The 12,948-nt window shown below is 39.6% G+C and overlaps 2 protein-coding genes across 12 annotated transcripts in view, besides 2 other annotated features; one reads left to right on the forward strand and one right to left on the reverse strand.

Annotated features, from left to right (window-relative positions):
* HACD3 (3-hydroxyacyl-CoA dehydratase 3) overlaps positions 1–4,499 on the forward strand; it is a 47,887-nt gene extending 43,388 nt beyond the window's left edge. For both annotated transcript variants that reach the window (NM_016395.4, NM_001411136.1), the window contains exon 11: positions 2,453–4,499. In NM_016395.4, coding sequence (NP_057479.2) covers positions 2,453–2,529 — 77 coding nt within the window. In that variant the 3' untranslated portion in view covers positions 2,530–4,499. The remainder of the gene's footprint in view (positions 1–2,452) is intronic.
* A 407-nt stretch (positions 4,500–4,906) lies between these two features.
* The window catches only part of INTS14 (integrator complex subunit 14), a 32,375-nt gene continuing 24,333 nt past the window's right edge, over positions 4,907–12,948 (reverse strand). For all 10 annotated transcript variants that reach the window (NM_001207059.4, NM_001207058.4, NM_001366360.3 and 7 more), the window contains 3 exons: positions 10,920–11,038; positions 8,104–8,169; positions 4,907–5,809 (listed from right to left, as the gene is read on the reverse strand). In NM_001207059.4, coding sequence (NP_001193988.2) covers positions 5,558–5,809; positions 8,104–8,169; positions 10,920–11,038 — 437 coding nt within the window. In that variant the 3' untranslated portion in view covers positions 4,907–5,557. The remainder of the gene's footprint in view (positions 5,810–8,103; positions 8,170–10,919; positions 11,039–12,948) is intronic.
* Positions 5,024–5,602: an enhancer, noted in NCBI's record as "NANOG hESC enhancer chr15:65871212-65871790 (GRCh37/hg19 assembly coordinates)". NCBI's record gives its function as "activates a minimal SCP1, AML or CMV promoter by ChIP-STARR-seq in primed H9 embryonic stem cells {active_cell/tissue: H9 hESC(primed)}" and the evidence as "EXISTENCE:reporter gene assay evidence [ECO:0000049][PMID:30033119]".
* Positions 5,161–5,455: a silencer, noted in NCBI's record as "tiled region #9623; K562 Repressive non-DNase unmatched - State 17:Gen3'". NCBI's record gives its function as "represses a minimal TATA promoter and a strong SV40 promoter by Sharpr-MPRA in K562 cells {active_cell/tissue: K562}" and the evidence as "EXISTENCE:reporter gene assay evidence [ECO:0000049][PMID:27701403]".

A 12,948-nucleotide genomic window follows, 5' to 3' on the forward strand; every position in this document is an offset into this window, starting at 1 on the left:
AATATATTTGAGAGGAGAAAACACTGATTATCATACATAGAACTTTACATGTTTAAGGATAAGACAAGCTCCTAACTATAAGGACTCTTTAAAGTTCTGATACATTTTAGTGGTAATTTATATATTTCTCCTTGCTTTATTTCACAAAAGACTTAAGGTGGCCCTAAATAAATATAACTGTCCAGTCTCCTAGCCACAGAAGGATGCAACAATAGTATATTAGTTCTCTATTGCTGTGTAACAAATGACCCCCAAAACTTAGCAGCTGAAAACAATAAATAGTTATTATCTCACATAGTTCCTGAAGGTCAGGAAGCAGCCTGGCTGGGTGGTACTGGCTCAGGGTCTCATGAGGTTTCAGTTAGGCTGTCAGCTGGGGCTGCAGTTTCTGTAGACTTGACTGGGGCTGGAGGATCTGCTCCAAGCTCACTCTTGTGGCTGTTGACAGGAAGCTTCAGTTTCTTGCCATAGCCCGTCTCCATATGGCTACTCATGGCATGGCTTCCCCCAAAGCAATTGGTTAGAGAGAGAGAGCCCGAAGCCACAGTGCCTAATCTCAGAAGTGACAAATCATCACACAGACCAACCCAGTATAACATGGGAGGGGACTACACAAAGGTATGAAATAACAGGAGATAGAGGTTGTTGGGATCATTGTCACGGCTTGCTACCCCAGACAGTGAGAGGAAGACCACGCAAGGTAAGCCCAGGAAGCCAGAAAGCCCAGTGGTCTTGGTCATTTAGTGTTGCGGGAGGAGAGACTTATACCATAGTATTAGGAGCCCCTTAGTGTGCCAGTGCCTGGCAGATGTACAGTTAAATAGTATACATTGTAGGCCCACGTCATTTGCAAAAGGTTAAAATTTCTTTCTTTTTTTCTGTTTCAGCAAAGGGTATAATCCATTTCAGAAATATTGCCAACCAAAAATATTAAAATGTTTTGCCCTTGAAGAGAGGAACCCTCAGTTCAGAAAATGTACTAATTAAAGACAGCTTTTTACCTTTATTACTGTATAAATTCAGTATAACTAGGCCCCATGAAATGGGCATAAGATAAAGAGGAATAAATATTGGAAAGACATTTAAAATATTTTAGTGAACAGGGTAGAGGGGTAGAAATATTTTAAAGTGCATTGACTTAGTATCTTTTTTTGTGTTGTTTATATTGTACACTCTAATTTGCAAGATTTTATGTTCATATCTACTTTGCTTATAGTGAATATGTAGTTGCTCTTTTCTTATTCTTTAGAATGAAATAAATCCTAATTTCACATTTATAATTTTGAAGCAGTGTAAACAGCCAGTTAACATTTGTATATAGGTCAAAGGACTTTTTAGTTTTTTTTTTTTTTTTTGAGACAGAGTCTTGCTCTGTCACCCAGGCTGGAGTGCAGTGGCACGATCTTGGCTCACTGCAACCTCCACCTCCTGGGTTGAAGCAATTCTCTTGCCTCAGCCTCCGGAGTAGCTGGGATTACAGGCACCTGCCACCATGCCTGGCTGATTTTTGTATTTTCAGTAGAGATGGGGCGTCACAATGTTGGCCAGGCTGGTCTCAAACTCCTGACCTCAGGTGATCCACCCATCTTGGCCTCCCGAAGTGCTGAGATTACGGTCGTGAGCCACCACGCCTGGCCATGTTCTTGAGTAGGCTTGAATTAAAAATTAGGTTGTTTCTGCACTTTAGATTTGTGCATTTCATTGTAAATTTTACTGTAAAAGAAAGAAAGAATATTGAACTATACCTACCTGAAGAATTAGGGGGGTGAGGTGTATTGATATCTGCAACTTAACACTGAAGTGCATAAAAAATGAGATGGCTGGAGGGATAGATGAATAGGGATGTGATATAGCCAATATAGTAAAAAGCAGTAAATCTAGATGTTCCCTGTATAATGATTTAATCTTTTGCGTGTTTGAAAATTTTATAAGAGAAAAAAATGTTTTAAACTCACTGGGAGGCTGGGTGTGGTGGCTTACGCCTGTAATCCCAGTACTTTGGGAGGCCAAGCTGGGCAGATCATTTGAGGTCAGGAGTTTGAGACTAGCCTGACCAACATGGTGAAACCCCACCTCTACTAAAAATACAAAAAATTAGCCAGGCATGGTGGTGGACGCCTGTAATCCCAGCTACTCAGGAGGCTGAGGCAGGAGGATTGCTTGAACCCAGGAGGCGGAGGTTGCAGTGAGCTGAGATTGTGCCACTGCACTCCAGCCTGGGTGACAGAATGAGACCCTGTCGCAATAAATAAATAAATAAACCCACTGGGGAAAAATTGCTTTGTGTCTATTGTATTGTTAATTTGTTCTAAATTGTACTCCTTCCTGAGCCGCTGCAATAAGCTTTTTGCTGTGGAATATGACGACAGCTAGATACTGTCCCTGCCACAAGAGCTTCTGGTTATAAATAGACAAAGACTCTAATTTCTAATTGACCTCTTTTCTTTTTCAGGTTTATACATAAATTTTCGTCACCTTTATAAACAGCGCAGACGGCGCTATGGACAAAAAAAGAAAAAGATCCACTAAAAAGAAAGATTTAGATGGCTTCTTGCCAGTTTGAGCCTAATCTGATTCTTACAGTTTTACCTTCTTGAACCAATGTAAAAGTTTTTTTAATGTTAAATGATTAAATTCTCAGTGAGGCTATCTTCCTTTTCCCCAGTAACATTCCTGAATTTACTGTTATCTTATTGTAGTACTTGCATGACATGGATTCCTGATATCTGATGAGAGGTTCATTCTTGTGTATTCAGTTAATGACACCAAAAGGCTCAGCCCACCCCAACCCTATCTCATGTTCAGTCTGTCTAATACATGCCAGAGATTTTTTTTTCAAAAAGTGCTTTATCCCTACAATGTACTGACAGTTCTTACAGTTGAGATTTGTTCTTTTCAGCTATTGCTTGTGAAAAAAAGCAAGACTATGTCACTCTATAGAAGGCTGTTAAAGTGACTCAGGCAGGAATTAATTATTCTGTACCTAAGGGGTTACTTGTTTAATGGGATGGCATTGACTTTTTGAAAATCAAGTGGACTGAGTCATTGATAAAACATTTCTAAGAGTGGGGCTAGAGAACATACTTTACATCTGACATCCTTTGGCCTAACAACATCTATTATTATAGTGCTCAGCAGTGTGGGCATTGAAGAGGCGCAGAATGCTTTGAAAGAAACTAATCAGAATCTTGGAACATCATGATCATGCCATTCTTAAGTAAATCAACTATTTTCAACACTGAAGAAAAATGAAACATTATTTAGAAAACAATGAGATTACAAGTTCCAAACTCAGCCAGGAATGTGGCTCACACCTGTAATCCCAGCACTTTGGGACACCTAGGTGGGAGCATCGCTTGAAGCCAGGAGTTCAAGACCAGCTTGGGCAACGTAGTGAGACCCCTATCTCTACAAAAAATAAAAAAATTAGCTGGGTGTGATGGCACACACCTGTTGTCCCAGCTACTCAAGAAGCTGAGATGGGAGGATCCTGAGCTCAGGAGGTCAAGGCTGCAGTGAGCCGAGATTGTGCCACTGCACTGCAGCTGGGGTGACAGTGCAAGACCCTGTCTCAAACCAAACCAAACCACACACACACAAACACACATACACACACACACACACGAGGTCCAAATGGTAGCAGGGATCCAAAGGGAACACAGTATGTAGGTCAAACTGGCAGTAACAGTGTACAGCCTTTGACAAACTAGAAATATTAGAGTAGGCCAAACACACCTCCAAACTGTAAGGCTGTGCACAAACATAAAAAATGGCAGCCTTCCATCTCCTGCACTGGCTGAGTCCATTTACTTGTGTACTTGTTCTAGTGAGTGGTGGGACTGTACATTTTTGAATAGACCTCAAAAATACTTCATTCTGCTGCTGTTCAGTTGGCTTTTTAAACCTGTCTGCAGTAGGACACTGAAAACAGCAAGAACTTCGGGGTGAACACCCGCTGATCCTTTAACAAGGATTTCTGGCAGGAAACTCACAAAAAGGAGAACTGAAAATTTAGACATACAGTTGGCCATTGTAAAAAACATCAGTTTCCTCTCATACATTCCAAGTAAACCAAGTAAAATAAGTGTTGGAGTAACACTTGCATAAAAGAATTTAAGGAGTGATAGCTCTTTCTGTTCTGCCATTCCCAACATTCCTGGGGGAAAGGAGACTCAATGAGTTAATACTATTTCACTGAGCCCAAGATGGAAACTTGGTTTGACCTAAAACATCTGATTAATATAGGCTAGCTGATTTCTTAAAAATTCGTTGCATTGAAGGATATTTTGCATGTCTGTAACACCTGTCAATACTTGTTTGTATTGATTTCTGATATTCTTGCAGCTGACTACGTGTAATTGGGCAGATCAGCTTTGCAGTAGATTATGCTGCATCCTCGTGGCAAAATTCTGTATTCTTAGTGATTGTTACAAACCCCTTTATTGCTGTCTGAGAAAGTGAAAGATTGTGTATTTCTATTAAAACATTTACAATCAAAATTCTAATGACTGTGCTTAAAGATAATTTAGTCTAATGGTTCTCTGTTAGTGATAAAGACCTTTGTTCAGGCAAAATATTATGTAGCAGTTCAGCATGTTAAACCAAAAACAGTTGCTCTGGTTGAAGCCTGAGAGTTACATGGAAGGTGGTGCAAATGAAAAACACTGATGATGCAGACAAAGCCTTGAGAAGTTGCCCAAAGTCATAAAGCTAGCTGATAAATTGGAACCATAATTAACTTTGGAATCGGATCGGTGATCTGTCAGGATTACCTAGCCAGAACCTTGCTTAGGCAATGAGGCCTAATCAGTGTCAGAAATAAGGAAACCTCATGATTTATGAATCTATGCCACTTAGAAAGTTGAAATTATATTAAAGTGATAAGACAGACCAAAAGCAAACGACCTTTAGTTTCATAGTGAAACCATTTTCTAGAAAATCAAATATTTTATTTTCATTAAAAAAAAACCTTGAATAATAGGAATCATTTTACACATTAATGGTTGCTCTTTAAAAGTTAGAATCTCAAGAGATACCAAAAGCACTTAAGAGTTACCACCACATTTTGCCCAAGTTCTAAGGAAAGTTCTGAAACTTAGTGGTGGTGTGTTTGTACTCAGCAAGCTCCAGACAGTCTGAGTTGCTCATTCCATGAACAGAAGCTTGAAAATGCCCTTACAGTTGAGATATAAACGAGGGAAGAGGTGAAGCTTTCAGGAAGCCAGAGAGCCCCTGCCGGTCAGGTTTCCTGAGGAAGGCAGGGGTGCTCTATGCTCATCAGTCATTCAAGCTTCTCAGGAAATGTGCCCATCATGGGAACAGCAGCTATCTTCCAAGCTTAAAAATTATGAATCCCAGGAAGTTAAAGCCCAACCAGCCAACCACCTTCACATCCTTCTCATACTAGTAGAGTCATTCAAAACAGCAAGTGGTGCTTCTGAGGCAGCCTCAGGAAGGTCTTTGGGTGGCTATTCTAGAGGTGAACATACTGGAAAGGTTTTTACCTAAAGCATTTTCAGTTGAAATGAAAAAAGAAGGAAAGCTCCAAAAGTCAGTTTCAAATTCTTTCAGTGCTGCTCCCAGAGAAGTCCGTGTGCAAAGGTGTGATGTTCTGGTCATAAGCGGCATACTCAGAGGTGCCGGTACTGGCCAGCTTGAGCTGCTGGGCAGCATGGGTCAGCTGGAATGCAGCATCAGGGTGGGCTGTCTCAGGCAGCAGTGTGCATTCCCTTTCCAGCATGTCAGCCACCCCTTTCAGCAGGTCCAGGAAACCAAAGGCTAGAGCGGCCTTTCGCAAACGGTTCAGCTCCTGAAACAAGACAGAAAATCACCAATGCTCCTGAAATGTGTTCCTAACACATACTTTCTAAGTGCTCAGCTTAGCATAAGTTCTCCTTGACTGAACTTTAGGGAGCAATTTTATATGAGAACAAATGTTTATTTAGGGATGCCAGTAACAAGAATGTGATGGTTTTACTGGGAAGTGGTTCCTCTGCAGGTGACCAGAAGCAGGCTAAGGAAGACAGCTGAATGAAACAACGTCATCATCACAGTTAATGAGCATTTATGCCACATGTGGTAGTCAGCACTTTGCATCCATCATTTCGTTACTCCTAACTTTAAGGAGGAGTACTTTTCCCCTGTTATTTAGGTATGGAAAAGACTTGCCCTCAATCTGAAAACGCTCTTAACCCTCTGATGCCACTGTGGTGGGGCCTCAGGCTAAGACAATAAACAGGCTCAAGAGGAGGCCCTGGAGGAGTCAGAGTGGAAAGACCAACAAAAAGAAAGGCTGGTTACTGATAGAAGCAGAGAAATATGAAGTGCCCCAACAACCCCTTAGTGGAGTGGTCTGGGCAAGTTATATAGCCTCTCTGGGTCTCAAAGGCCTCATTTATAAAATGAGGAGAATAACCCCTTCCTTACCCACTGCAGAGGCTGAAGCACTTTCCCTAGGCCCTTTTGAGCTCTAATATGTAGCATTATATAAAACCAGAAAAGAGAAATGGGCTCTCTGACCATCTTTCTACTATCATCTGTTAAAAAAGTGGAAAGTTAAGAAGAAGGCCAAACAAGTGTGTCATCATGAGTAAATAGCTGATGACTGTAGGAAGCTCTGCAGGGAGGATGGACTGTGTGGATTATGGGCTTCAGTTTAGGGAGGGGCCTGGCTGGCTAAGAAGCTCTCCAGTTGAACTCTTGATTAAAGCTGTTTTATTTCACCAGCTTACTACATAATTAAGTTTGAAGACAACAGTGACATAAAGGTAATGAGATAACACCCAGACAAAGTAGCATGTATCTTCTCTGGTTAAGATGCTAGCCTAAGGCTGGCTGTGTGTGCCACATTTTAGAATTAGAAAGCTAAGACACAAATGACATACTTTATGCTGCACTTAATTTAATTCCAGCCAAACACCAGAACAATAGGGGAGAATCAAGGAGCAAACCTAAATGTTCCCCACTCTACCCCACCCCCTGTAACTTAACAGTCTCTTCACCAATCGTTCTGGATTAGCTGCATATGATTCTGCAGGGCTATCTCCTCTGCAATTCATAAATGTGTAATGTTAGATATCATTCCTAGAAGCAGAGTCTCTGGTGCAATAAAAATGTTCTGGGGTGGCCAGGTGGGGTGGCTCACGCTTGTAATCCCAGCACTTTGGGTGGATCACCTGAGGTCAGGAGTTCGGGACCAGCCTGGCCAACACAGCGAAACCCCATCTCTACTGAAAATACAAAAATTAGGCCGGGAACGGTGGCTCACGCCTGTAATCCCAGCACTTTGGGAGGCCGAGGCGAGCGGATTACCTGTGGTCAGGAGTTCAAGACCAGCCTGGCCAACATGGTGAAACCCCGTCTCTACTAAAAATACAAAAATTAGCCGGGCATGGTGGCACACACCTGTAATCCCAGCTACTTGGGAGGCTGAGGCAGGAGAATTGTTTGAGCCCGCGAGGCGGAGGTTGCAGTGAGCTGAGATCGTGCTACTGCACTCCAGCCTGGCCGACAGAGTGAGACTCTGTCTCAAAAACAAAAAAACAAAAATTAGCTGGGCGTGGTGGCACGTGCCTGTAGTACTAGCTACTCAGGAGGCTGAGGCAGGAGAATCACTTGAACCTGTGAGGCAGAGGTTGCAGTGACCCAAGATTGCACCACGACACTCCAGCCTGGGCAACAGAGTGTGACTCCATCTCAAAAAAAAAAAAAAAAAAAAAAAAAAAAAAGAATGTTCTGGGCAATTCCCCATCCAGGAAGCCACATACATTGGTTGCCTGGGGTTGGCCTGGATACCCATATAGGAGTGATGAGGAGAGTTCAGGGCTATGACCCACAGGTCCTCTAAGCTGCTTCCATCAGTCATTCATTCACAGCAGCCCCAACACAGAAAAACCTTCTGCCTGTACAGAATTAGGCCATTTAAATTCTTCCAATTCTTGGATTTTAGGGAAGGAACAGACCTATCACTTTTACTGAGTTTATTTGAAAAAACTGAGGCACAAGTCATACATCTCTAACCCCTGCCCATATTCACACTGCCATCTCACAGTTTTACTGTCGTGAACCATATATTTTGGGCACATCCTCTTCTGTCTGTCTCACCTTATAGAATGTCTGTGTTTTTTCAGGTAGTTTCCTTGCATTTCTTAAAATCTTCTGTACATCTGTCTATTAAGGGTAAAAAAAAAAATCCAACATTAGAATTCTGTGGTAAAAAAGGGAAATAATATAAAAGAATGGATCTAAATGTTTAAAGAGATGAAAATGAGAACACAGCTACAATGTCAAGATGAGGATCCCTTCTGAGTTAATGTCAGTTCAACATTAGTAAAGCACTCCCTCCTTCAAAAGGCTTGACAGTAAAATAAATCCCCTGACAGAAACGAACTTGCCTCATAAAAATGTACCCAGTAAACCCATACATCTATTGCCAGGGACTTTTTTGCAAAGACGATTCAATGGGGAAAAAATAGTCTCTTCAACATTTGGTGCTGAGACAACTGGATATCCACAAGCAAAAGAATAAAGTTGGACCCTTACATCATACCATATACAAAAAACTAACTCAAAATGGATCAGAGACCTACATGTAAAAGCTAAAACTATAAAACTCTTAGAAAAAAACGGGCCAGGTGCAGTGGTGTGCCCCTGTAATCCTAGCTACTCAGGAGGATTGCTTGAGGCCAGAAGTTTGAGACCAGCCTGGGCAACGTAGTGAGATGTGTTTCTCAAGAGAAAAAGAGAAGAAGAAAAAGAAAACACAGCGGGTAAATCTTTATGACTTTGGATTTGGCAATGATCTCTTAGTTAAGACAGCACAAAGCACAAACAACAAAAGCAAGAGACAAAATTTGACTTCTTCAAAACCAAAAACTTTGTGTATCAAAGGACACTATAAAGAGAGTGAAAAGATAACTCACAAAATGGGAGAAGATATTTGCAAATCATGTATCTGCTAAGGATCATAATATCCAGAATATATAAAAAACCCAACAACAAAAAGACAAACCCAATTAAAAAATGGACAAAGAACTTGAGTATATACTTCTCCAAATAATATACACAAATGGCCAATAAGCACAGGAAAAGATGCACATTATTGGTCATCAAGGAAATGCAAAAACAAAGACATACCACTTCACACCTACTATGATAGCTATATGATAATAATAATAAAAGGAAAACAATGAGTATTGGTAGGAACGTGGAGAAACTAGAACACTTATACACTGCTAGCAGAAATGTAAAATGGTGTGGCTGCTGTGAGAGAGTGTGGCAATTCCTCAGTAAGTTAAAGAGAATTGCTGTCTGACCCAGCAATCCCATTCCCATTAAAATATATACCCAAGAGTATTGAAAACAAATGTTCAGACCAAAACTTATACATGAATGTTTGTAACAGCATTATCCACAATAGCCAAAAGGTAACCCTAATGTCCGTCAACTGAGGGATAATCAAAATGTGACATATACATATAGACATATGGAATATTAGCCATAAAAAGGAATGAAGTACTGATACATACTACAACATGAATAAACCTTGAAAACATCATGCTAAGTACAAGAAGTCAAACACAAAAGGCCACAAATTGTATGATTCTGTTTACATGAAATATCTAGAATAGGTAAGTCCATAGAGACAGAAAGAAAATCAATGGTTGCCAGGGCCCGGAAGAAGGAATGTGGAGTGACTTTCCTAATGGGCACAGGGTTTCCTTTTGGAGTGATTAAAATGTTCTGGAACTAGAGAGTGGTGATGGTACATTGTGAATGTACTAAATGGGACTGAATTGTGTACTTTAAAATGGTTGAAGGTACATTTTATGTATATTTTACCAGAATAAGAAAAATAAACCCAAGATAGTAGTGAAGATTCAAACAAAAAAAATTAAAAAAAATAATTTAAGAAAAGCTCAGCTATAACTGGTGGTGAAAGTGGTTCTAATATCCCTCTGACAAGGAAGCACTGGGGTCAGGGATATCAGGAAAATAGAAGACCCTGATTTTCCAACAAAGAGGCCCCTGACACTTTAGCCTTGGCAGGATGTGGTTCAGTCTCCATGGAAACGGGGCTCAGAGACTGTGCAGTCAACAGAAACTACTTTTGTTGTCCAAGTGGCCTGTCTCTTCTCATTTGGTTTAGGTTGAACTTACTGGAAGAACAAATGTAAATAAAGGTGCTCAAAGGAGAAAAAAGTTTCAATAAGTGATTTTTAAAAACAGGTATAAATGACTTTTTGCTGATGAAAGGAGAAATGTTCCTGAATACCATGCCTGAAAGCATCATTCCTTGATAATCATATTATCATATGTTCCTGAATACCATGCCTGAAAGCATCATTCCTTGATAATCATATTATCATAACTTCCTATGGAAGTGTTTTTGTGAAATGTAATGCTATGGCTTGAGTTCTACTGAAGGGATGGAAGAAATATAGTTATGAAGACTTTTACATCTTTTCCAAAACTGTTGTTAAAGCCAATACCCATTATGTTAGTCAATGCCTCACCATATAAAAAATTTCACACTAAAATTCAATGCCAGGAAAATATGTCTCTCTAGACAAACTGACAAATTTCCTTTCTTTAGACAAGAACAACTGACCTTGGTAACAGGAAGCTCAGAGCCAAAACACTCACATAAAGTTATTATTTTGCCTTGGGTTCCTGGCACAATTGTCTTCCTTCTTCCTCCTTCCTCTAGGATTCTTATTGCTCTAAATTTTGTAAAAAATGATTTTGCTATATACATGTTTTACTGTAGGGCATCTCAAATCCCTTTTGGAAATAATGACAAACATTAGAAGTAAATGAATTACTAAGTATCAAAGGAAAAGAAAATCAAATAAAATGCCTGCCTGCCTACCCAAATGTCTCCTGTCCCCAGTGGAAAGCAACATAAATGGTAATGTTACCTGCAGGCCGCTGGGTTTGATCCAGACAGTCACATTCTGGGCATAACTGCGTTTGTTTTTGGGCTGCAGGGGGAATGGACTCTTATTGTCATCCTCGCCATAAGGGTTTTCTTTAGCATCTTAAAAGAAAAGACATTCTTGAAATGACATCTGGTAAAACACAATCAGTTACATTTCCATTTAGACTAGAAGCTCTTTGAATCACTCAATCTTTGATATCCTATCACTTTGTTAATTAAGAAAATCCATTAACTTCAGTCAGGTTGGAGAACCTGTTCTCAATAGAAAGCCACTGATGTAGGAGGCCCATTTAAGTGAAAAACAGCTTAATGTTTTTAAAGAAACAAGCTTCACTTATCTGATTTATAAATTAAGGTCAAAGGATAAAACAAATACATATTTAAAAAATATATATATATATACATACACATAGACACACATATATATACTGCAATTCTATATAGTCTAACCCAGTGCTCTCCAACTGAACTTTCTGTATGATGGAAATGTTCTATATCTGTGCTGTCTAATGTGGTAGCTACTAACTACTAAGCACTTGCCCTGTGGCTAGTGTGACTGAGAAACTGAATTTCAAATTGTACTTAATTTTAATTAAATTTAATGTGGCTAGTAGCTACTGGATTAGACAGCATAGGTCTAGGCATTAAAATAATTAAAAAGGAAAACTATATATATAGCCAAATTAAGGCAAAGGGCAAGACAAGAAATACTTTTATTGGTGAAGCATACCCCAATATGGCTTATTAGTTTATTGCTTCCAAAAATGTAAAGCCACATTGGTTTTATAGCTACATGAACAAACAGGGTTTGTCTCTGTACCTGCTTCCTGAGTCTATGAAACTGCCACAAACTTATAAAGCACACATACTTCTAATGGTGTATTTGATCTTTATTATTATTACCACCTTCTCGTGTAGACAGAGCAGGAGTCATTTTCCTACAAGTTCAGAGAACTTAAATCTCTTGCCCAAAAGTTTGTGTTGAAAAATGTAATTAGACCAGTCTGTCTAATTGAGCCAGACATTCTCTATCCCTGATTTGGTCATTAATTGAAACACCTTGATATTGGACCAACACTTCCTTTGTCAACCCTCTTCAGCCCTGACTCCTCCATAAAATACTGGCCCAACTCTCCAGACGTATTTCCATTAATATTTGTCAATATATAAACCTTCTGAGTCAGGCTAAGGTCCTGCAAGTCCTTTCCCACACAACAGTTCATTTCCAACTTTCCTGCTATTTCTATTACTCCTCACTGCCTAGAATGCTCTCCCTTCTTATTCACTCATTTACTCATTCACTTATTCATTCATTATCTATAGTAAGACCCCACTACGTAGCAAGCACTGTGCCAGGAATTGTGCCTAGAGAAGATACTTTTCAGCCTCAAGGAACTTACAGAATAAAGAATATTTATTAAGTTCCAACTATGTGCAAGATACTTTACATATTCAACTTCTCTCTTTATAGCAACTCTAGAGCGAAGATGTTATTAGTCCCATTAAAGATGAGGAAACTAAGGCACAGAGAGGTTGGACTTATACAAGGTTTCACAGTGACTCAGTTGGGCCTGCTTCAAAAGCCAACACTTTTTCCACCATTCAACACTGCTGTTCCTTACTTATCCAAACTTACCTACCTATATTCCAAGTCCAGATCCTATCTTACCCCTTCCATGAAATTGTTTCAAGTTTTTCTGGCAGATAGTGGTTTTTGTAGACCCTTTTATCCCCTAGCACTTAGTATCAGTACCAAACATTTCAACATCTAATCAGAGCCTATTTTGTACTGTCATTAGTTGTCTGGAGCCTATATGTGGTAACTAACTGGCTTAGGAGACAGGAAATATTACATTTATGAAAGAAGAAATTTTAAAAAGATAGTATAAACAAAAAATAAAAGTTATAAGATAAATTTGAAGATACAGAAGACAGAACAAAAATTTTAAAAATGGGAAAATGGGCAGAAAGAGATAGAAAATTACAAACACAAATCACAAATATATGTT

Source organism: Homo sapiens, chromosome 15 (genome assembly GCF_000001405.40).
Source record: "Homo sapiens chromosome 15, GRCh38.p14 Primary Assembly".
Taxonomy (NCBI): Eukaryota; Metazoa; Chordata; class Mammalia; order Primates; family Hominidae; genus Homo; species Homo sapiens.